The sequence below is a fragment of the Homo sapiens genome, chromosome 6 (assembly GCF_000001405.40).
Source record: "Homo sapiens chromosome 6, GRCh38.p14 Primary Assembly".
NCBI classification, from domain to species: domain Eukaryota; kingdom Metazoa; phylum Chordata; class Mammalia; order Primates; family Hominidae; genus Homo; species Homo sapiens.
Window position 1 is genome coordinate 12,241,265 of NC_000006.12, and position 25,999 is coordinate 12,267,263.

Sequence of the window (25,999 nt, forward strand, 5' to 3'; positions counted from 1 at the left end):
AAGCGATTCTCCTGCCTCAGCCTCCTGAGTAGCTGTTATTACAGGTGTGCACCCCACACCCGGCTAATTTTTGTATTTTTAGTAGAGACCGGGTTTTGGTTTCTCCATGTTGGCCAGGCTGGTCTTGAACTCCTGACCTCAGGTGATCTGCCCGCCTCAGCCTCCCAAAGTGCTGGGAAGGACACACTTTTATAAGCAGGCATCTTTGGAGATCTTGGTGGGAGAGATGGCTCAAGGAGAGGAAAAGAGGGAGGTATTAGTACAACTGGGTTTTTATAGGCCCAGCACTAGCTTCATAAAAGTTATTTGCAAAAAAAGTACGGGTCTGTGTTTTTGTCTGATGAGGTGGCCCATTGCTCTATGGTAAGTGGAATACATAATTGCTCACCTTTGCTTTTGGAAATTAAATGTATTTAGAATTGAAACCAGCTTATGGTTTTCTTCTCTTACTCATGTTCATAGAAGATGATCCTATGAGTAACACTTTTTTTGGAGACTCAATCATTGTTTCCAGTCTCTTGCATTCTCTAGTAGGTGGTTTATCTTCAGTAACTTTTGCAAATTGCATCAACATACTTGCCTCCTACAAATTTAAACTCAATAAACCAAGGAGAACAAGGGTGTGATGGTGGGAATTTCTTTTGAAAGAGTCAAGCCCATGCTGTGCAGGCTGCACCCATCTTTACTGCATTCCCATAAAAGGCTTGGGGGAAGGAAGTTAAACCATAACCCCGTTAGGTAATAGGCTATGCATTAATGCAATTTATCTGGAATGAGGAAGGAAGAGATTCAGCTTTGAAAGAATTTCCTCAACAGCATATTCCTCTTTGCTGCAAAGCTGTTTCACTTCAGGTGAGACCCAGGAAGCAGCCTGGGAATTCCTTGACCATCGATACCAAAGGCTTTCTGGAGGTGTGCAGTCTCTAGGGATTTGAGGGTGTCGCCCAACAGTCAGTGTGATTTTACAACCAGTTCTCTCTAGGCTAATTTCTAACGCAGGGAATGAGAATGGTCATGCTGAAAAGTGGTAGAGAGATTTGACTCGCCTGATTGCAAGGACCAGGTCTACCACCCAGTAATTGTGTGGACTAGAAGGTGGTGGAGTGAGTAGTGACCTCTGAAGAGTGTGACCTCTCAAGCCAACTGCTTGAGCTCCAATTCTGCCTCTGCTACTTTGTGACTGTGTAGCCCTGGGAAAGTTATTTTACCTCTCTGTGCCTCAGTCATTTCCTCTATAAAATAGGTCTCTATATGGACCTACCTTATAAGGTTGCTGTGAGTGGCACATGCAAATGTGTTTATAAAGTATATCCCATGGTATGTGGCGTAATTTATTTTTTGAGGGGAGATAGTGAGGTGCTAGTTACACACTGGGATGAGGTAGATCCTTGTTTGGATCTCAGCCTTGCTGCTCCCTGGGTAGGTGGCTTTGGATCGCTGCTCACCTTGCCAGGTCCCTCTGGCTCCTCCTTGGCTGAACATGCTTTGACTACACTGACCTTTCTGTTTCTCCAGCCCTCCTCATGGCCTGTATATAATATTTCTTCCAGTTGGAATGCTCTCTATTAACCATTATGATTCTCATGAAGGCTGTTTCTGTTCTCCAGGCTGGGTTCAGGTCTCTGTGATATCACTCAAGGAGTTTTGTACCTACCCTCCTGAGCACTTAGAATTATGCTAGAGTATTCATTTGTATAATTACAGTTGACTCTTAGGCAGCTCCAGGGATGGGGGCACCAACTCTCCTTGCAGTCAAAAATCCACAGATAACTTTTGATTCCCCAAAAACTTAACTAGTAATAACCCGCTGTTGACCAGAAACCTTAGTGATAACATAAACAGCCAATTAACACCCATTTTGTATGTTATATGTATTATATACTGTATTCTTATGATAAAGTAAGTTAAGAAAAGAAAATGTTATTTAAAAAATCATAAAGAAGAGAAAATATATTTGCTATTCAGTAAGTGGAAGTGGATCATCTTAAAGGGCTTCATCCGTGATGTCCTCACATTGAGTAAAGAGGAGGAGGAGGAGGAGAGGAGGAGGAGGAGGAGGAGAGGAGGAGGAGGAGGGGCTGGTCTTGATGTCTCAGGGGCGGCAGAGGTGGAAGAGGTGGAGGAGGTGGGAGGGAGGCAGGAGAGGCAGGCACACTGGGGGTAACTATTATTAATGAAAATCCTTGTGCAAGTGGATCTGCACAGTTCAACCCATGTTATTCAAGGGTCAACTGTATTCCTATCTGTACTCAGGACTGTGAGTTCCAAGCATGGTTAACAAGTCCTGTGTCTTTCAACCCAATGTCTATACTGGTGCCTGGCTCAGAGGGGACAAAACAAATACATGAATGCTGAATTAATACATACATACATAAAATGAATGTGAGAAGAATTTCCTTTTCTGATGGTTTTATAAACTATGAGCTACTTGAAGGCAGATTACATTTCATCTATAGTTATATCCCCAAAAGCCTATAGTTAGCAAGAAATTAATGTATTTGTCATGTGGATGAGTAAACTGTACCATAGTGATTCGAATTTAATTCACTAACATATAACATTCTGATTTGAAAATAAATAAAATTACTTTAGAAAAGCTTATGTTGGATATAACCTAATTTATACAAATATTCTTTTTTTATTTGTCAATTGAGAAAGTATTTAGTTACTCGTGATGGAAACTTTCTCTTTTTTTATATTAGAGATGTTATCTCACTGCAGACTATAAGTTAAGACTTGTAGCACAGCCATTCTGATAGATTTTGTTCTCAGAATTCATTTATCCTCTAAAAAGTATTGAGGATCCCAGGAAGCTTTCATTTGTGTGGGTTACATTTACTATATCAAAGAATATATTTACTATATCAAAGAAATATTTTAAAAACATTTAAAATATTTATTTGTTTAAAGCAATAATAAACTCAATACAAATTAAATAAATTAACTAATTTTAATAAAATTAATTATATTTTCCTATGGATCTTTTGCCCATGCATGATTTTGCCAGGTAATGCATCAATCATTTGGAAAATATTAATTCATTGAGTGAATATTTGACCTTTCAAATGTTGGCTATACAATATTTTGAAAAATCACATTTGTTACTATCACTGATCTCATTAGAAAAGTCTTTGAGGCATTGGGAAGCTGTCTGGTTTACACAAGCAGGTACAAGTTTACCAAAATTCAAAGTTTTGCTTGAAGGTTCAAATGTTATTTTCAGCAACGAATAATGTTTGTTATTTTCCTTGAAGTGACAGGCTCTCTATTTAGTCTCAAGAAAAAGTTTGTCAAATAGCCAAGGCTGAATAACAATAGTTTGCAGTCAGTTGTCTTTTAGGGAAAAAATGCTTCCATGCAAAAATAGGCTATTTCAGCCTACAACTCATAGCAAGTGTGTAAGTATTAGAGTATACTGTAAGTGCTTCATGCTCACAATTACTACAAATGTCAACATGGTAAAGAAGGCAAATAACGTCTTAATATTATTTAAAAAATAGTTTTGATCTTATGCTCCTGCAAAAGGATCTTAGAGAAGCCCAGGGGTCCACAGACCACACTTTGAGAGCCGCTGCTCTAGGGTATTCTAACATTAAATTACAAGACTCATTGACCCCACACAGATGAAATTTACAACAATATGGCTTTTAATTAATCAACTTTTCCTGCAACTTCTACCCTATCAGGAACAAATAAGCCAAGAGCAAAATGTTACAAAAGATTGTGATAACTGAGTTTAAGATCAATGTACGAGAACTGTCTTATCAATATCACCCATAATTATTAGTGTAAAGAAGTCACAAAATGTCTTTTAAAAAATTCTACCCTGAAAATATTTCAGAATGTAAGAAGTGGCAATAATTATAATAAGTGGCTACAAACTCCACTTTGAATGCATTTTCAGCAGCTTTTTTCCTAAACATTTATCACGTATTATTTTATTTTAACATGTCTCTGTGATATGGGTACATAGGACTTGATATCATCTCTGTTTTAGAGATGAGGAAACTGAGAAAAAAATGACTAGATTCACCCACCATTGCCTAGGAAACTGGCGGTGGAACTGGGTAGCTCTCCTGATGAATATTTCAATGCCTTTTCTTTTTCACCCTGTGGAATCACTTGGCCAGCCAGACTCAGCAAACACGTTTCATGTCAATAAAAAGAGAATATTCCAATGAGCCCAGTGACTTTGGAAATCCCTAAAGTGGAGTGTTCCAAGTAACTGAAAACCTGGGGGGAAAGAGTGACCTCTGTGAGCTTTTCCAGCTTCCACTTCTGCTGATGGGTGGAAGTTCATAGGAAGGAAGACATTCTCTTAGCCTGGGCTATGTCCCTTGCTAAATTTAGGATTCCAGATTATAGAAACACCCTCAGATGACCAAGCCCTCCACCCCTGATGTTCTGGGAGCTCTCATTCTGAAAGAACAAATGCATTTTTCCTTCCCCTTTGGAACCAGATAGTAAACTTGGCCAAGGAGCCTGCCAGCCACTGGCCTGGTGTGAGTGAGTGGGGTGATTATTTGGAGATTTAGGCAGAAAGTGTTGAAGGGAAAGAGGCTGTGGGTGGGGAGGGACAATCAGCTAAAGAGATGGGAAGTATCATCCTCTTGTCTTGTTAAAGCAGAAAACTGTTTAAAATGTCATGCCCATATTTACTAGCTGTTTATAGGTAACAGAATCTCCTCTGTGTGTCGTCAGTGAGTAATTGCCATAACAATGTTGTATTTACATGACCCATATTTTACCCCACAAAGGCAGAGAAGATCCTTAAAGAAATTGCATATACCTCTATGGTGTGTAGAGAAGAACAGCTGCTTTCCTCCCTCTTCCTACTCATATGGCTCTTGAAAATGCTCTCAGCCTCTTCCTTTAATAATTTCCATCATGTCCTCCTCTGCCCTTTAGATTGTAGCACACGATTTAAATGGAAGGTGCAGGGAAGTGTTTCTGAGTGGTTTGCCTGACTCAAGCCACCTGGTGGGCAAGGGGCAGCATCTGAGAGGCTTCCTTCCACAGCCCGCCTCTTAGGGCCCAAGAGATAACAAGACCACATGCAGCTCAGATGCAATCACTTCTTAACATAGCTCAGAGGCAATCACTTCTTAACATTTGAGAAAACTTGCCTGGGTGAAAAACCATTTTCCCAGACAGCAATTTGCCTAGGAGTTGCAATGACATTGTCTTTCTGTGCCAAGAATATCAATCAGTTCAAAAGTCCCTCTCCTGAGAGCCACTGGCAAGATCCTGGGCGTGCACACACAAGCAGTATCTGTAACCCTGCTGCTTGGGGTTAGTGTAAATGTCAAGGCTGTGTATTAGAATTAATTGTTCTGCCACTATCTGCTCTTCCTTTCTCTTTTCCTCCTTTTGTATAATCGTTTGCCTTTTTTTTTCTCCCTCGATCTTGTTGTTTCTAGCTTTATTGTTCTCAGTTTAGACTTGTGAGCCTTTGGGATGAAAAGTGATGTAAACTCTTGGAGAGGAAAGAACCCTGGATCATAGGCCAGAAGGCCTAAGTCCCAGTAACACTCTCATCCGTTAGTCCAGTCACATCACTAACCTATCTCCACCTCAGTTTTCCATCTCAAACTGGAGATAATAATCTGTATATTGATTGCTTTTTGAGACCCTTGTAAGAATCAATTGTTATTATGTAGCACTATTGAACATATGTACTTACTTTCATTACAGTACCTAGAACACCAGCTAGTGCATAGAAGGTGCCCAATAAACATTTGTTGAATTGATGACTATATTTGGAAATATTTTGTAAACTATGAAATCACTACACACATGTTTTTATGACATTTTTCATAGATGATGCTACTAGCCTGCAGTGCTCTAGGCCTTGGGTTGTGTCTTGTCATGTCGGCTGTGTAAACAGGCTGGCTCCTGCCATGCCACAGGTGGCTGGGGATCTCTTTCCAGGCCACAGCATCTACTTGGTTTCTGTGATTCCAATTCCTGTGTGGATCTGACCCACTAACTAGAAGTTTGCGCTAAGTGAACCTTGGTGTGTAAATGTTGGTGCTGGAGGGTGAATGTGGGTACCTTGAAGCCCTGGTCTTATAAATGAGTAACATGTTTCTGTATAACATGGAATGATACAGATGATGGCATTGAGAATCCTGCTGGTCTCGGAAATTTCAAGGGAGTTCTAGACCAGATCAAACAAGAGACAATGGAAGATACCAGTATTTGGCAAAGGAAAGACATTTAGAATTTAGAAGTATTCTAAAGGATGATTTCTTTTTTTTTTTCTTTCTTTCTTTTTTTTTTTTTTTTTTTTTGGAGACAGTCTCACTCCTTCACCCAGGCTGGAGTGCAGTGGCGTGATCTCAGCTCACTGCAAACTCTGTCTCCTGGGTTCAAGCGATTCTCATGCCTCAATCTCCTAAGTAGCTGGGATTACAGACATGCGCCACCACGCCGGGCTAATTTTTGTATTTTTAGTAGAGATGGGATTTCACCATGTTGGCCACGCTGGTCTCAATCTCCTGACCTCAGGTGATCCACCTGCTTTTGCCTCCCAAAGTGCTGGGATTACAGGTGTCAGCAACCACACGCAGCTCTAATGGATGATTTCTATTTACATCCTTCTTATAGACTGAGACAGATCCCCCTAAAATTCATGTGTTGGGACCCTAGCCTCTGTATTTGGAGACAGAGTCTGTGAGGAGATGTTAAAGGATAAATAAAGTCATAAGGTTAGGGTCTTAATCCAATGAGGCTGGTGTCCTTATAAGAAGAAAAGGAGATACTAGATCTCTCTTTCTCCCTCCACTCTTGTCTTCTGCTCCACAAAGGAAATATCAATGGATATTCCTCACAAGTCTAAACTGAGAACAGTAAAGCTAGAAACAACAAGATCGAGGGAAAGAAAAGGCAAAAGATTATACAAAAGGAGGAAAAGAGATAGGAAAAGCATAGTGGCAGAACAATTAATTCTAATACACAGCCTTGACATGGAGCAAGAAGGAGGCTGTCTGCAAGCCATGAAGAGAGAGCTCTTACCAGGAACTGAATCGGCCACCTTGGTCTGAAACTTCTAGCTTCTAGCTTCCAGAACTGTGTGAAAATAAATGTCTGTGCCTTAAGCTACCCAGCCTATGGTATTTATTATGGCAGGCCAAGCTGACTAATACAACCCTCACCTCCTCTGTCTCATTTCTGGGTAGCTATCCTGAAATTCATGATTCTGACATTCTCCTATATGCAAAGAACATTGAAGTCTATGAGCAGACTGAATGTATATGTCTAAATATCCTTGTGAACTAAGCATGATGGAAGAGAGGAGACAAGAATAGCCACACTCCACTGAATGACAAGTCAAAGATTGCAATGAGCAACTCTTTTACCTGGCTTGCCTGAGATAATTTTGATACATTACACTAAGCTTCAGGAGAGTGAAAGGGTGTAGGTTATGTCAATTAGCTTGTGGACTTTTTGCAAACCATGTGATTAAGGCTGGTGACATTCTGCATCAGGTTTTAACAAAACAAGGTTTCTAAAGTTAGTTTGGATACATTGATTTTTCTTACACCACCACTGTTGCTAGTTGGGTATATTAAGTGATATTATAGCATACGTGCAAAGGGAAATGATTATTTGGGACAGTGAAAAAAACTGTATATTCAATGTGATGATAGAACAAGTGTGAAGGCTGAGTTTGGCAATTTTGGGTTTGATCCTCAACCTCTAATTTTTGCAAGTTTGGAGCCATGATCTTCTAATTATTTAGCACAAATGTTGAAGAAGTTAGACACAAATGAGTCAAAGTTAATCTATCACATTCATTTTTAAACTTTAGTGTTTCTATGAATCATCTGAAGAGCTTGTTAAGAGCCAGTGAGTTTTCGGGTGAGCCTCAGATTTTGTATTTCTAACAAGTTTCAGCTCATATCAATGCTGCTGGTCCATGAACTGTACTTGGAGTAGCAAGGATCTAGAATACTGTGTGTCAGATGGAAAGATGAGACATTTAGTTTTTCTCCATGAATAAAATACGTGAGATTCAACTGTTGCTTTGTTTTGCAATACTATGGGATTCCTCTCTAAAAATTGTTCAAAATCTCATGCTTTGAAGAACTACATTATATGGATTGTAAAATGACTTAAGCAGGAAGTACTTGACATGAATATGTGCTTAATAAATATTGATTGGTTGATTTCTGAAAAGTAGATCTTCAGAGATGTAAGGCAAATGTCTTCCAGTAATATAAAATGATACATCCCTACTTAGGGGATCTAGGATGCTATGCATTGAGACAAGACAAAGTTTATGGTGTCAGAGCCAGAGAGAAAGCAAGGGTGATCTGAGCCCAGCAACACAGCTCCATTGTAAATAGCTGCTCACCTGGGGCAAACAAGTGCTATAGGATATGATAAGGAAGGTTCATTTCATCATTTTATGGCTGTGTACATCCTGGAGTGAAGGAAAGGCATTAACGAGTTTGGTAAGAGCTGGCAAAGCCAGAGTCCTTATTTGCAAGGCATGGTAAGCCTATGGGTGTGTTATCATTTACTTCATTGTGATTTACGACAGTCCTACTGCTGATTATACCTCTCTGACCCCCTCAGGGTTGGTTGGAAGTTGTTTAGATCCTACCTTTTTCTCTCCAGACACCAGAGACTGCCAGAACCACGCTCACCTGTGAGTGAAACAAGCAAATTCCCTGGCATCAAGGGGAAGTTAAAACTTCTATTTGAAACAACTTTTTGAACACTTTTGGCATATGTGGAAATGTACATATACACACACGCATATGTATGTGGATTATGTAAGGGGTTATAATAAAGTAAAATTAAGATTCAAGAGCATTTTTGACTTTAAGAAAAATATTCCTGACCCATGCACTCTTATGTAACCTGATCCCTCAGAAGCATACAAGATAAATCAAATTTACAGAGTTACAAAAAAGTGTTCACTGACTGCTGGAAAATATATGATGTCATATTTGTGGTTAATGGCCTAAGTTAGATTAAAAAGATGCACTTTTTTGTATTTTGATGATTTGTCCTTTGTTTTTTCTGTTTTAGTTAGACTTGACCATGGAATTGATACTCTGTCAATAAATTCTTTATCTTTCACTGTTGCCACTGGTAAGAATAGCTAAAGGTTTTGCAGGATAATTGCCTTGAAGAAGGTATCTTCAGAATCCATTTATTTCAATTATTTGCCAATATTATTCAAAATTTCTTGTCTTCTTATCACTATCAATGAGTAGAAATTTTCAGGATTGCTAAGAGTTTGTTATGCTTTGTGGGAGAAATTCTGTGTAAGATTGAGTTTTGAAAAAATTCCATGTTGCATAATCTGGGGAAATGCCTGTTCATGCCTATATCTGAGCAAACTTTGTAACTTGTTTATAAAGGAAAAAAGATTTGAAATTTAAAATTTGGCAATTAGGAGCACATTAACTCTCCTTGTCTACAATTTTTATCGCACCATAAAAATACACTTTTAAGAAAAAAAATAGCATTCCTTTTAAAGGTTTCTTTCAAAAGATATCCCTTTAGGAGATGGGAGTTAAATAACAAAATCAATTACTCTCTTTGTTGGGTAAGTCAAGGACTCCCTAAGCCCAAATTTTGAGTGCCTCTTGGCATCTTTGTATATAACAACTGGAGGTTATCCACACATTAATTGCCTCTAATACTATTCAAATGCATAATCAAATCCAACAAGTCATTTCTGCTTAACTGATGCAACACAGATGATGCCATGCTTCCTGAGACTGAAAGGTTTGCTAAGGAAATTGCCTCTAAAATTATGGCAAGTATAAAATAAAGGACTATTAGAGGAGATACCACCTTAGCTGCTGTACCTAGGGATACTGATAAAGGATATATCACAACACTCATTCATAACTGAAAGGATATTAAAATCCAAATAAAGCAAAAGACCAAAGATAACTTAAGCCATACCCCAAAAAGCTAATTAACTAATAAGTTATTTTACTGTTTAACAGAATGAAGAGATTAATGGTAGACAACTCTTTAGCTGGAATATTGGAAAGACTTACACAATGAAAGCAATAAGTGACATAGATCTTGCTAAAAATCAATAAAGCAAGTAAAGCCAGTTGGCACACTATTTAACGTGAATCAATGTGAATGATATCTCATCAAACTTGAGGTGTCATTCAAGAAGGAATACTTGCTATTTCTGTCTCCTAAATTTCCAAGAAGACATTACAAGTGTCTAAAATGAGCACACTCTTAGGTGACCCTGATAGAAGTGCATTTTATATTTACTTGTGAAACGTGCCCCAAAAGTTAAAGAAACCAATAACTCATATAAATTCTTGGGTTTGCAGGATGTCAGATTAAAAACAAGAAACAGCTTCCTGAAACACTAAAACTCCCTCCACTTGTAAGACAACAAAACTGGCTGAAATCTTTTCGAACCGATACGGCCAGCTGGAGTTTGCACAGAACAAGCTTGCTGATGTCACAGCCTGGATTTCCACTGCACGTTTTATATTAACTCCTCCCCAAATTTGCACATGGGACCTATAAGGAAGCACAAAGGGATGACTGTGCGTGCCTGAGGGTCTTTCAGACCTCTCCTTTCCTCCCACCAATTACCTGCTAATCTCAGAATCCACCCTCTTAAACCTTTTCTAGTAAAAGTATTGCCTTAAAACCAGCACAGAGAGATGGATCTGAGCTTGACTCATATCTCCTTGTAAGTCAACTTGCAATAAATAGCTTTTCTTTCTCAAAAACTTGGTGTTATATTATTGGATTCTAGAACATTGGGCAGCAAGTTCCTTTTGCTTGATAGCACTTTTGTATAAATGTGTATGTGTAAGGATGTAATTAACAGCATCCTTTTAGGTTTCTGCATTTATATTAGGCCAAATCGATATACCTTTTAGATATTGCTGGACTTGGATTCAATTTGCTTTGTTCTCCATTTCATTTACTAAAATCTGGGTCTAATGTAAGAGTTCTTGGTATATTACATAAACATAAATCATTGCTGCTGAAGTTCTAATAGGACTCTGTTGCTACTTGCAGAAACCAGCTTTGAGGTAGTCAAGGAAAGAGGATAAAGAAAAGAACAAAACTGAGGTTTTAATTTCATACATGATTTGTGTCTTTGACAGTGCTTTTGTTTCATACAAAACACAAACGAAATAAAAATTTAGGTTCCATTTCTGTCCCTTGCCATGTTAACTGTCCAATATAAAAAGAATTGAGCATTATGAAGTAGGGTTCTGCAGCTTGCTAGATAATAAAGATATTGAAAGAAGGGTTCAATTTGGGTTGGATGCCAATAGTGGTGAAGCATCCTGCATGTTCACGTTGGCTCTCCAGAACTTTCAGGACTTGATAATTCTGCAGGAACGCAAGGTGGGGGCCTGACTTCTCTTAAGCCACACCAATGCCAGTTAAATTTGGGATTGACAGAAAAGTAGAGAAAGAATAGTTAAGTTTGCATGAACTTCATTTATGTCTTTTTTTTCATGTGTGTATTCATGCAGTGTTCACTCCCTACTCACTATAAGCCACGTGCTCTGCAAGATACTAGGTATACAAAGATGAATAAATTTGTCCTTGAGGAACAAGTAATTATAAAGTTAGAAGATAAAGATAAAAATATCCAACCTGTATTGAAAAAGAAGAAAAAGAAGAAGAGGAAGAGGAGAGGTAGAGGAAATCACCTATGAAGAAACTGAAATCCAACTAACCTCAGAGGAGTTCTTTAAAACTCTACATGCCAAAGACAATGAAGCAACTAACAGAATTATAGGGGAAAAGTTTGTGACCAAACTATAATCTATGTTTATTCTTTGTGGCGAGGACCATAAAATATAACCCCACACACTCAAAGGAAAAAATGCTTGAACACATTCTATAGCCTGCCAAGATTTTCATAAAATGAAGAGCTTAAATTGAGTTAGAAACAGACTCCCAATGAGCAATGAAATTAGCAATTTGAAAGATGCATGCAACTGTCAAAAAAGGGAGAGAGAAGATACATAATGAAAAAATAATCACTTTTTCAGTAATATTTATCAGACCCCCTCCTATATGCTAGACAGCATTCTAGTCAATGAGATTACAACAGTAAATTAAACAGACAAAAATTAAGCAGAATGCAAAGTCTGCCTTTATAAAGCCTATATTCTACAGGAGAATCAGAAAATAAACAAGATACAAAAAATGCATAGTATGAAATCACATAATACCTCAAGTCTTAATAGCAAAAACTAGCATATGGATATAAAAGGATAGAAAAAGTGAGTGAAAAAGGGATAAATATTTTAGCTTATGTAGAAGAGGAAGAAAAGACTTTAATTTCCAGGAATTTACACACACATGTGCACACACAAAATGTAGGGTAGAAAAATTATTGCTTAGACAAAATAGAAGTCAAAGGGAACAGCATTAAATAGGACAAAAAGAATAACTCATACTACTACTACTAATAATAAAAGTCAACACATTCAAAGTCCATCTTCTTATTCTTCATCTGACTCAGTTTCTGCTCTTGCCTCTCTAAGTGAGGGTATTGTCCTACTGCCCCCAAAGCCAGGCCAAAAACCTGGGCATCATTCTTTACTCCTCTGTCCCTGCGCACACCCAATCTACCGCCCGTGACGTTTTGTTTTTCTACCTCCTAAATACATCTCAATCCATCTCCTTCCCTTTGTGCTTTCTGACATTTTGCTCATTTAGAACACCATCATCTCTTACCTGGCCTTCTACCTCAACCCTCTAACTGGTTCCCTTGCCTCCTGCTTGTTTTCATCAAATCTACTATCCATGGGGAGCTCCAAACTATCTTTCAGTCTACCCATCTGATTATAACATTATTCTGTGTAAAACACCTTTGGCATCCCATTGTCCAGAACTCCTTAATGTCACCCTCTGTAGTTTAACTGTTGATTATCTCTCCAGGCTGGTATCTCATTTGTTGCTTTTTATATCCAGCCACGTGAGCATTTGCAATTCCCAAATACTGGGTCAGCCGCTTTCTCACCTTGAGGGTGTTTCCCTCTGCCTGGTACCCGCTCTTCTTCCGTCTCCCTTTGCCTGGCCAATTCCTATTGAGTTTAGACACCACTTCTCCTTGTAAACCTTTCCTCACTCTCCACTCTGCCAAATCTGGTCGAGTTCCTATTCTGAGTGTTCCAATAGAACCTTGAACTTCCCCTATCATAGTACCTTTCCACTTGATTATAACAGCCTGTTGATATGTCTGGAGTCCACACCAGATTGTAAACCCCATAAAGCTGTGGACCATATCCCCAGGACAAAGATCTATCCAGAAGGGGTTTTAATATTAAATGAGAAATATTATTTAAAAAGAAGTAAGAATGCAACCTAAGAATTTGGAAAAGAGAAAAATAAGCCAAAAGAAATCATCAGAAGGATTTGACCAAGATTAAAAGAAAATAAATCAGAAAGTAGAAAAATTGTATTTCTTTGAAAGAAAACATGCACATAATAAAGTGCATAAATCTGTAGCATTTTATATATAATCAAGAGAAGTTGTATGCACTCAATTGAAAAATTTATGAGAAATTTATGAGAAAGGACAACAGATATCAAGGATATTACAAATTATGCTTATGATTTAGAATAATTTTTAAAATGGCAAATTTCCTATCTAAACATAAATGATCAAAATTGTCTTAATAATTAAGAAATCTGAAATCTCCAGTAACTCAGAAAGAATTTGAAAAAGTACTCAATAATTACTTCAAAAAATGGATACTAACCTGGGCAACTTTACAGCTTTCACATTTTCAAGAAGCAGGTAATTTCTTTCAGATAAATTGTTCCGTGGGATAAAACAAGATGAAAGAAATTATCAAATTCATTTTATGAAGATGAAATGATTCTGTTTCAAAAAGCCAAATAAATAACAAACACAAAACTCTTGAATTGAATAGTAATCTTATTTTTGAATACAACTGCAGAAATCCTTAAAAGAATTACAATTTCAAAACAATAGCACCTTCATAAATTATCCACCACATCCAAGTAGGGTTATTCCTGGAATTCAAGAATAGCTCAATCAGAGAGAAATAGGTTAGCATACTACATCAATGGATCTAAAAAGAAAAAAATTATAAAGCTCATAAAGTCATTTCAATGCCATTTGGAATAACAATTCTTAGAAAACTTAAACACAAATGGCATTTATTCAAATTGTCAGTGATATCTGATGGCTAAAGAGTAGAGGTACTCTCTCTCATTAAAAGCAGGAACAAGACCAGGAAGTCTAATATCACCATGACTATTTATAAGAATGCTCTGAACATCAGTTTGTGCTTGTATTTGACCAAAGTCTGCCAATGTGTTTTTGCTTTGATTTTGGCTGTGGAAGTCTGAAGAGACAAATGTCTGCTTCAACTGGCTTTCTAGCGTCCCTGAGATAGTTCCTAGTCAAGGATCATGTGACTATTTAGGTTACCATCACATGTAATCATTAATGATTGGGAGTTCCAATATTAACTGACAGACCAATAGTCTAAGCCCTATAACATCTTCATTTTTATAGGTCAAAACAATTGAATATCAGCTATTTCTTATGACTTAGTCTAAAACAAATATTGAGAGAGAGTGTGTTTGCTAAATAACTTTAAAGAGGACAGTAAATCTCTCTAAAGATATGTTGGAATGTCTCACAAATAAGCCAGGTTGTTACAAGGTACACAATAAAGAGGGATCTGCTTCTAGTTTCAACTTTTCTTATTCATCCTGGATAAGGTGCTTAGGAACCACTGTAACCCACTGTAACTCCTCTAAAAAGCTGGCACAGGAAACAAGACGGCTTGGCCAGTGCAGTAGCTCACGCTTGTAATCCCAGCATTTTGAGAGCCCAAGGCAGGAGGATCATTTTAGCTCAGGAGTTTGAGACCAGCTTAGGCAACAAAGCGAGAGTCCCATCTCTACAGAAAAATAAAATAAAATAAATAGCCAGACATGGTGGTGCACGTCTACAGTCCCAGCTACTTGGGAGGCTGAGGCGGGAGGATTGCTTGAGCCCAGGAGGCCGAGGCTACAGTGAGCTATGATTGCACCACTGCGCTCCAGCGTGGGCAACAGAGTGAGATCTTGTCAAACAAAACAAAACCGCAAAACAAACAAAAGACCCCCCGCCCCCTAAAACCCAAAAAAGACCATTAGGCACCTGAACTCAAAATGTTTAAAATGTTTTTCCTCACCTGCCCACCTCTACCCTCCACAGTGAGCCATCAACCTAATAACAAGAGAGAGCAACAAGGCCTGGGGTCCCTTTGCTGGAGCACAGTCCCAAGGTGCATCCGTCTGTGACCCAGGTAAGCATGTGTCTTCCCAAGAGGCCAAAAGCATGGAAACCAAACTGCAGACTTTCTCCCTATGAGCTCCCGCATGCACCAAGTGATGCTGGCTGAGGTTTTCTTGGGTCTGTGACACAACAATATCCATTTTGAACCATCCAAGGTTTATAAAAAACATTAATAACAATATAATAGAAGGATAGAATTAGATTGTATAGTAGTAGTAATCTTTGTAGAATTGTTTGCATACTAGTACTCATTGTCAAATAAAATAATCATTAAGAACCATATTTAATTTGCAGTTAATGAACTTTACTTAAGCTGTGACTATTTCAGGAGTAATGGTCCTGCTTGGAAATTCTTCACATTCTGTACAGACGTATTAAAGGCAGAATAGCACATTATCACCTCAAATTTTCATGAGGAGGTAAAACTAAAATCATGTACAACAATCTCAATGACATATCGATATAATGAAGAGTATGAAAAAGAGTAAGAGAAAAATGAGGAACCAAAAACACATTTGATGTTGCTAATCTAATTTCAAAATAGCAGACTTAACAAACTTACTCTAAGAAAATAATCCTATATATCTGAGTCTCCAAGGCCAGATATATTTAAAAGCCTGTTGAAATGATTTATGCAAACTGACAATTGAAGCAGTTGAAGATGAAGGAGTATTCAGATTTTCACAGTCTGTGATGCCTAGGTACAAATCTCTTCTTTGTATGCATTTTACTAGAAAAATTTCCTAAATTCCATTCTGCTGGGCACAAAAAGTTATTGACAAACTAAATGTGCCCTTTCTGCATCTTGTGTATCAGTTGTTGGGACAAGCAGGACCCACCAGAAGTCCTTTAAATTTAATAGGATTCATGGTGAGTTTATGCTGAATTTGCTAGATTTCTCTTTTACATGCTTAATGAGGGATTTTGGGGATACAAGCTAACAAAATAATGAGTCTGGCTGTGGAAATATCTGTAGAATGGAAAATCAGTAAAGACAATTACAATCAACAATGAGTACACATGATGAAGGCCTCAAGTGATTTAGGAATTGTAAATATACACTATTTTAATCATAGTTTCCAGTTGTGTTTGGAAAATAATTATGACACAGTGTATTTTAACAGAATTACCTATCTTAAGAAAGATTACAGGACTCTTCATTTCTTACTCTTTGATTGAAGACAAACTACACGGAGTATAAGAGGTTTTGGAACCGGTTTGTCATGCTTATAAAAGATAAGGAAGCCCCTCTCACATGTAAAAAGGCTGCTCGAACAAAATAAAGCCTCAATATTGTATGCTGCAGATAATAGTCCCAGTCGTCCCAGTCTAGCAGGGCGTATTACCCACCAACTATTTTTTCAGAGAAAGTAGTTTGTTCTTTGCAAACTGCTCAAGTAATAATCAAACTGAGGAGTGCAAAATAATTCTGACATATTTGCACATGAGGAGTGCAAATAATTCTGACACGATTACTACTATTAAAATACTCCTATCACCCTGCTTTGGAAGAAATGCTGCAATTAGTATACAGACAGTGTATACTAATTAGTATAATTGCAAGCGGAGGTGCAGAGGGAAAATCAGACCTTATTCTTTTATTTGAAAAGCTGGCTGGGTGTGGAGGCTCATGCCTGTAATCCCAGCACCGAGAGGCCAAAGCCGGAAGATCATCTGAGGCCAGGAGTTCGAGACCAGACTGGGCAACATAGTGAGACCTCCATCTTTAAAAAAAAAAAAATTAGCTGGTGTGGCGGTACATGCCTATAATCCCAGCTACTCAGGAGACTGAGCAGGGAGGATGGCTTGAGCCTGGGAGGTCAAGGCTGCCAGTGAGCTGTGATTGCACCACCACATTCCAGCCTGGGTTTCGGAGTGAGATCATGTCTCAAAAAAAAAAAAAAAAAAAAAAGCCAATTACATTCAGTCGCAACATTTCTAGATCAAAGGTTTGAGGACATATTTTCATCAAAGGATTTATTTAAATGTGAAATATACTAGACATCAAAGTATAAGTGAAGGTGAAAATCCAAAGCGTGATTCTGAAAGTATTCGGAAAGCATCTCCTTTCAACGTGTGTGAACCTTACATTGGTGAGGCTGTATCAGTGGAACTGCATCATCACCATTGACCAAATCTTCAAGGCTAGCAGTTTAAAACAAAGTGTCTTTCCCTTCTTTGGTACTGCTAGAGAGAAAGGAAAGCCCACTGACAACATCTCTATCTCTATCAGCAGTGCCTATCTTGATAGAGCTAGACAAGACAGCTCCCTAACACCATGATGAAACTGAGCATTCATTCAACATCATCTGTGTGCAGCATGGTACCCACAGGAGCAATCTAGTGACTAACAGGGCCATGGAATTTCCTGTCCTCAGCCATAACATCAAATTTAAAAAATTAAACTACTAAAAATGTTAATGACATTTATAATGATCACTATAATTCATAATATAATTATGATAAATTTTGGGTTAATTATATATTCCTGTCATTTATTTTATGTTGACAATACATGGTGTTGGCTAAATATTAATTCTTAACATTTGGCCTTTCTGTATTTCTTTAAATTGTATGGTCACTGTCCTTTTACTTAATAGTATCCTGAAAATACTGGCTAATGCATTAAATCATGAAATAGAAATGAAGTATAATTCCTTAAGGAGAGGACATAAAATTAATACTATTTACAGATGACACAAATATAATGCTAGGAAACCTATAAGCATCAACTGGAATAGTTTTAGAATTAATGAGCATTCATTAGCAACCTAAAATGTTAGCAGCATAGAGATTTAAAGTAAGATTTAAATAATTAATAATATTAAATAATAAAAAATAAGATTTAAATAATTAGAAAGATTATTATAAAAAGAAAGAACTTTTACTAGTGAAAAAAATTGGCACTGTAAAGATGTAAATACTTCTTAATTAATTTGTTGGTTTAACAAACTCCTGGTCAGATTTCCAGCAGAATTTATTTTAGAGCTTAAATATCAAAATATCATCTAGAGAAATAAGTGGGTAAAAGTGGCTAATTTTTAAAAATCAAAGTGATGGAAAGAAAATTAATCTTTCAGATAGACACTATATTACAAAGTAACATTAAGTAAAATGGTACGATTTTACTGAAAGAAAAGGAAAGATAGCTCTCAAACAAAATAGATAGAAATATATTACAAACTTATGGAGAAGGGAAGGAATTTGTTGTAAATACCTTAAGGATAATTAGTTCTTTAGGGAGAAACAATCAAGAACCTCCTCTCTTTCATCTACCATTAGTTGAGTTAATATTTAATAAGAGCTTCTAGTAGTGCCTGACACAAATATGCTTTATATAGGTATTTATTAAATAAAGAAAACAAATAAGATACCAAGATAAATCTAAAAACTTTAAAGTAAAATAATTAACCCTATAGAAATAAATACTGGTGACTTGAGAATTTCTCTACAAAAAAAGGTAAAAATTGATTTATTTAGTACATTTGTTCCATGCCGGAAACAAAATAGAAAGCAAACAAACATCTGGGTAAAATATTTCTTAGCAAACATGGTAGACAAATATATAAAAAACTCTTAAAAAACAATAAGAAAATTAGTAAGAGTTCTTGTTAAGTAAAGAACACAGACAAGTGACAAAAATATGACATTCTGATAGATTTATGATAATAATACTTATTCAAGGTCATACCATTTTTAAAAATTGGTGAAGACTTCAAATAATCTCCATGTTTTAGAATACTGTTAAAATTTTAAAATCAAAAGTAAGGAGCTCATGGTTAAAAGGATCTCATAATGAAAATCAAGCTTCTTGCCTTCTCCTCCCTACTCTGAGTTCAATTCTCTGAAAGCAAGCACTTAACTTTGTTGCTTCTTATATTTACCTTCATGTCTGTGAGTGGTAAACATAAACTGCTTTTCCTGTTTTATCAGTTTTATACCTTAGATATTGATTTCTGCAGTAACAAATGAAATTTCAGCTCTCAGTGCATACCTTCCTCTTTTTCCCATTCTACCCATGTAATTATATCACTTTCAAATCACTGATGTCATATAACCACATAAATATTGTTCCCTGCGAAACTCACTAATGTTTTACGATTATATGCCTTTTACTGTCTTTTGCCCCCCTGTCCCTCTGGAGTTTCTGATTGCCTTTATTTTTTTATAGCACTAATTGCCTTTATCATATTGTTTTTTTCAAACTCTTGATTATATCAGGTGTGTTAGCAAATTATCTCCTGGACTTAGACCACTGTTCCATAAACCTAGATCTTTTTGCACCAATCTTGGCTACTTGCTCTGCAAAGATTTGTTGAAATGCTGTATGAAAAGAGGGAGTGGTGAGACACTCAAACAGTGCTGGTAGAGTATAAATTGTTACAACCACCCTAGAAAGCAAGTTGTCACTATATGACAAAAGCTATAAACATTCAAAGACTTTGACCCTACTTTTCACTTCTAGAAATTGCTTCTAAGAAAATAATCAGAAATGTCATTCAGATTTGTGTGCAAAGATGATAACTGTAATGATGTTTATGTGAAAAAGTGGAAGTAACTTGAGTGCCCAGTTATTTGTGAGTCGTTAGTAGATTGTGGAGTACTCTAGATTCATTAAAATTCATTGGTAGAGCACTTTTGAAATCTGCTTCAGGGAAACACCTCGAAGAGAAAAGTAGCTATCTTCAAGCGACTAAAACTGAAGTATAATAAGAGAACCATGTGATTCAAGCAAGTCCACAACAGAGCCAACAGAGTCTGCTTTCAAAGGAATCTGCAAATTGAAGGATACAAACAGGTACGCTCCGAAATCTCAAGGGTGGAATTAATTGCTGTAGTGTGCCTGTGCACATGGGCAACCCTATGTAGCATGCATGTTCCAGATGGGTAACAGGTGCTTGATTTTTTAATGTAATGATGGTTGTGCTGCTCCCAAGCAATGAGAAAGAGGGCAGCTGTGGATGAATGGGCGTAGGGAATAGGTAAGGATGTGAAACTGACAAGGAAGGGAAGCGGTGTTATTAAATAAAGGCTGAATATTCACACAGGGGATACAGAACACTTCCCCTAATGCTAAGGTGCTGAGGAAAGGCTGTGTGGGAGATGAGTAGATGCACGTTGAGAATTATGAGGGGAATTACGTCATCAGGGGAAATCCAGGTTTCACCTGGGATGAGGCGGCGGCGCATGTATTTAAAGAACAGATTGCAAATTTCTGAGCTCCTTGGCAGCAGAGCAGGGTTTCCAGAAGACATATGGTTACAGTTAAAGGAAGGGTCAAAAGGGGAAGGATGTGTCACAGAAAGGTCAGGCTGCTCTCAATGGAATGGAGACTTATAGACATGGAGAGAGGGGTCGCCAGAATTAGTCCCTTAGATAACTAGGGAGGAGAAATTCTGGGAGTTGAGGGGTACAGAGCAAAGGCATCAACAGAACAAATGGGACAGAACTGGCAGCCCCAGCATTTCAAATGAAACTTCGGAATGAACTAGGGAAGATACCTCCACAAACTATTGTTTCAACTATCTCAGGTACACCTAATTGCCATAGGCCTATCAGCATTTTTGAGGTTGACTTCATGCACAAATATTTTTGGGAAAACCTGATGGCTAAGTAATTTGAATAAACGCCTTGAAGGGAATGAAGTGGTAGGGAAGATGGATTTGGAATTATCTGTTCCTTTTTTGTAAAAGCATAGATGAGAGAGGCTTTGGGGTACACCAACAAAAGACAGAAAATGCAGTATTAGCTCAAGAAACCTGGGCCAGGTTGTTTGCCTTGAGGGAGCAAGAGGCTTGTGTGGGAGCCTTCCGGGACTGTGTGAAATCTTGGCTGAGTTTTGAGTCAAGGTCGACCAGATGCAGGTCTGGCTTCCCAGAGAGTAGATCTCACTCCCTTGCTGAAGCACAAATCTGCTGGGAGTGGCGCTGACTTTGGACTCGAGGAAGAGTGAGAGTAAATTAGTAAACAAACTAAAATAGGAAATAAAAATGATTTATGGTTTGTAAGTAGACACATAAAAATTTTCAAGGCCGGGTACGGCAGCTCATGCCTGTAATCCCAGCACTTTGGGAGGCCAAGGCGGGTGGATCACCAGAGATTAGGAGGTCGAAACCAGCCTGACCAACATAGTGAAACCCTGTCTCTACTAAAAATATAAAAATTAGCCGGGCGTGGTTGTGGGCACCTGTAATCCCAGTTACTTGGGAGGCTGAGGCAAGAGAATCGCTTAAACCTGGGAGGGGGAGGTTGCAGTGAGCCGAGATTGCGCCATTGCACTCCAGTCTGGGTGATAAAAGCAAAACCCTGTTTAAAAAAAAAAAAAAAAAAAATTCAATTAACCACTTGACAGTGTTTTACTCTCCCAGTTCTCCAAATGTTTATGTTTAACCTAGGGCACAATTCAAAGTGGGTGGTGTTGTGGAAGCTGAGTGTTTACATGTGCTTTCTTATTTCTGGGTAATTATAAGGAGTCAATGTGCACATTTTCTTTAGAGCAGGACACATAACTGTGAAGACAGCTCTATCATCTTAAAAATATTTGCATTTTAAATATTTTATTGGCCCAAATTTTGAGAAATGGAACACACAGATAAAAGAAAATGTATTGAATATTCTGACAGACAAAGAAGATTCAGGGAATCTCAAATACTTTTAAGCCAGCTTGTGATCTCATTCCAGATTTCTAGGTAGCTGCACTTGAGTTTCCAAATTTCACCTGCTAAATGTACAATTTTGGGTAAATATAGGGAACACTGTCCAGTCTTCAAAAGCAGTAGAAGCAACTTCGTTGAGGAGTTAGCATAAAAAGAATCTGTTACAAAAAGTGGGTGTACAAATGCAAATTTTTGATGGAGAATAAAAATTCACCCAAGATCTGGTTTTTAGCTTGGCTTTCACACAGGGTACTAGGCATTCACAGACCAGCCTCATTTTTCATTCCTTTGACATAAACTAGCCCCACCAGTTTGGGTTTGTAGAGAGACTTCTATCTTCCTAATACTCATTTATTGACTTCCATCATCAGAGTTCTCACGGAAAAACCTTTCACCACCATAAATCAACTTGGATGTTATTGATACTTGGCCTGGAGTTACACAAACACAATGAGATCGTGGAAGAGAGGGTTAAATGGATTATTCTGGACATCTTTCATGAAAATTGAGGCTCCTCACATTTCTCTCCTGTGTTTTCTTTTTCTGAGTGGCTTCTTAATTTCAGTATCATTTTCTTTATCCTTTCTGGTTCCTTGTTAAAAAAAAGAAAGGAATGTGTTTCCTGGAAACTGTCTTTGTCAACTAACCTTTGCATTTTAAGTGATACTTCTGTTGTCTTGATTTCTAAAGATCACGAAGGTCTAGCTTTCCTAAAACTTGTTTGAGTTCATGAATTGTTATTTTGAACCTCACTGAAATGTTTAAAATTATTTCCATTGAGAAAAAAATTTCATTCTACCAATACAACTATTTTTATCTGTAATACTCAAGGAGTTTTGCTGAGTGAAGAATGAAGAGTAATTCCTAATATAAAATTAATAGGCATGTAAGCTTTCATAATAGTACGAATATTCTCATTTTTCCTATGGGTAGGTCTTTGCTCATCAAGATCCCAATGGCTCTAGTAAGAGAAGAAATCCAGGCACCTGAAGCAGTACAGATGGTAGCAAGGGTTGTGACTAGGAGCTTGGAGTCTAAGAGAGAGCAACTCTGGCTTGAATCTTTAGCTACAATAACTGTATAGACATGAAATAAAGTTCTTAACCTCTCTGATTTTCAGTGTTTATAGGTGACTAAAGTAGGTATGGAAAAGTGGGTTTCAGATAATGGTTCTGAAGGACAGAATAATCATTTTTCCAAAAATAATAGGAGCAGATATATAAGAGAATATTATTTGAATTTTTTGTTTAAATCTAGTAAGTGGGTTGGAAGGGAAAGAATTGAAGAGAGAGTGCTCTAGACCAGGGGTGTCCAATCTTTTGGCTTCCTTGAGCCACATAGGAAGAGGAAGAATTGTTTTGGGCCACACATAAAACACACTAACACTAACGATAGCTGAGGAGCTAAAAAAAATTGCAAAAAAACTCAATGTTTTAAGAAAGTCTATGAATTTGTGTTGGGCCACATTCAAAGCCATCCTGGACCACATGCTGCCCATGGGCCATGGGTTGAACAAGTTTGCTCTAGACAGAAGGCGTGGCATGAAGATATTCTCAGAGCCAGAAGATGGGGAGAACTAGAGAAGATGAACTGGGCAGTAGGAGGAGATGAAGAAAGCAAAAGATGACTAAGACAGTCCTCTCTGCCCACAAATTCATAATATTAATAATGGATCTTTTTTACTAGAATTTGATATCACAGGTCACTTGATTTCTTAATTGGGGATTTCTTTTATGAGCCATATCCTCCACTTTGCTGTTCCCTCTCTATTTATTTGAAGAGACAAGTCCAACACATAAAAGAGAATAAAGGTCTACACCATTTAGCCTGATGTTAAGTGCAAAAGGATTGCAGAGTCAGAGATGAATATGGGATGGAGTATGGCTGCAGGCTCCAAGGATGAAATCAGGGTTTGAAGAAGTTTCCGAAATGCCAGCAGCAAGTGGAGGTCTTGTTGTTAGCTTTGACAGGTTGTAGACAGCTTTGTACTATACCTGTCCAATGCCAAGCGATATGTGCCTGATATGTAATAATTTCTGAATTTGTTAAGGGAATGAAAATAAGAATCTACCTGCTATGGGCTGAACTGTGTCCTCTTCCTCCTCAAATTCATTTGTTGAAGGGTTAACTCCCAGCACCTCAGAATGCCACTACATTTGAGATAGGGTGTTTAAAGAAGTAATTAAGGTAAAATGGGGTTATCAGGGTGTGGTCTAACCCAGTGACTAGTGTCCTCATAATAAGAGGAGTTTATGACACAGACAGAAAGACACCAGACATGTGCATGCACAGAGGGTTGCCCCTGTGAAGATAGAGGGAGTTGGTGGCCTTCTACAAGCTAAGGAAGGAGACTTCAGAAAAATAACCCTGCTGGCATCTTGATCCTGGGCTTCTATGCTCTAGAATTGTAAGAAAGTACACTCTGTTGTTGAAGACACCCAGTCTGTAATTATTTGTTACGGCAGCCCTAATAAACTCACACACGATCCATTTTGTTTTACTTTCCCTTCAAATAACAATGATGTCTTAGTTATATGTGTTGTTTAGTCCCATGGTAGTAACTCATTTTTTACCAGTCCTAAATGACTTATTTAGGGAGAGAGGAGAAAATAAATTTGGAGAAATGCAGAACATACATGAATGGGGAACAGAAACAAAAGTATACATGAAAAAGTCTACAGTTGCGATGGTGCAAGGCTACCCTGGTTAAGTTGAGGGAACCCTTCCCTTATTTCCCAATGACTCAGAGACTGGTCACTGCTTGACAAAGTTTCTCCCTAGAGAAGTCACTAGTATTAGAAGAGGACACAGAAACCAGGGCCACCCTCTTAAGTCATTGTTTCAGAGATAAGCCAGTGTGGGGGAAGATGTGATGAGGCATAGAAGCTGGAATTTGAGCCTTGGTTAGGTAACTGAGGAGACCATAGGAATTGCTTGGGTGGGGAAAAATTAATTACGTGATTTTGTCTCACACTTTGATACATGCAAAATAAGTTTAGAACAAACATCAAGGAAGAAAGAGGAGCTAATAATGATTGAGTCATACCTTTTAAGGAATATGTGTCAAAGATAGCCTTGAAAGAGAAAAGAAGTGGAGAAGATACTCCAGAAACTCAAAATGGAATGTCAGGTGTGGGCAAAAAGAGTTTGAGATAACAGGGAAAGGGTTTAGAGCAGAGCAGGAGGGAAGAACACAGTGGGACCGGTGCTATTCCAGGTGCTAATCAATGCCCTGGAACTGCTCTTACTGATCTAATGGGGATCCAGGCAGGAAAGACACAGTCCCTCTTCTCCAAAATCTCCCAGCCCAGTGATGAGCACTAAGTAAATTGTGACGACTCTACAGACTTGCAAGTGCTAAGGTGGGAACCCATGGTGTGCACTGGGAGCACAGAGGAGGGACCTCTTGCCTGGTGCTAAGGGAAGGGGGTCAGAGGAGACCTCCCCAGGAAAGGTGACAACTAAGCAGAGTCCTGATTGAGAGTGGGGGCTAGGCCAGCAAAGAGATGTGTGGAAATGCATTTCAGGCCTGCAGAAAGTTTGTGAGATGGGAGAGCATGACTCATTCGTCAAACCACAGGAAGGTATTATGGCTGGAGTAGAATTTTTCTGAAATGCGGTCTTTTCTCAGTGGTAGGGAAGAAGGGCAAAGGGAGAGATGTATAGTGTCTCTCTCAGAACTTAAAAATTCTTTTTTGTTAATGCAATTAATATGTGTGTACCATGAATCACCTGGATGATTTGCATATATTCAGGAGTGATTATAGTAAAGAAGAATTTAGGACAACACCAAATCCAGCAATATATTGTTAAAATGTTGTTTTGAATTAATGCATAATTGTACATGCAGGTATACCTCATTTTATTGTGCTCTCCTTTATTGCCCTTCGCAGATATTGTATTTTTTATAAGTTGAAGGTTTGTAGCAACCTTGCATTGAGCAAGTCTATTGGCACCATTTTTCCAACAGAAGTGCTCACTTCTTATCTCTGTGTCACATTTTGGTAATTCTTCCAGCATTTCAAACTTTATAATTATTATTATTCTG

At 37.9% G+C, this 25,999-nt stretch overlaps 1 protein-coding gene and 1 long non-coding RNA gene across 2 annotated transcripts in view; one reads left to right on the plus strand and one right to left on the minus strand.

Moving 5' to 3' along the window:
• EDN1 (endothelin 1) overlaps nucleotides 1–25,999 on the plus strand; it is a 66,679-nt gene that overhangs the window by 10,749 nt on the left and 29,931 nt on the right. Inside the window, exons 2-3 of the mRNA NM_001416565.1 lie at nucleotides 15,215–15,305; nucleotides 19,950–20,093. The gene's annotated coding sequence lies outside the window, so the exon portion shown is untranslated. The remainder of the gene's footprint in view (nucleotides 1–15,214; nucleotides 15,306–19,949; nucleotides 20,094–25,999) is intronic.
• LOC124901260 (uncharacterized) lies at nucleotides 183–24,112 on the minus strand. Its single transcript, XR_007059454.1, has 3 exons — nucleotides 24,023–24,112; nucleotides 13,740–13,784; nucleotides 183–230 (listed from the first exon to the last, which is right to left on the minus strand). It is a non-coding gene; the product is annotated as an uncharacterized LOC124901260 (long non-coding RNA).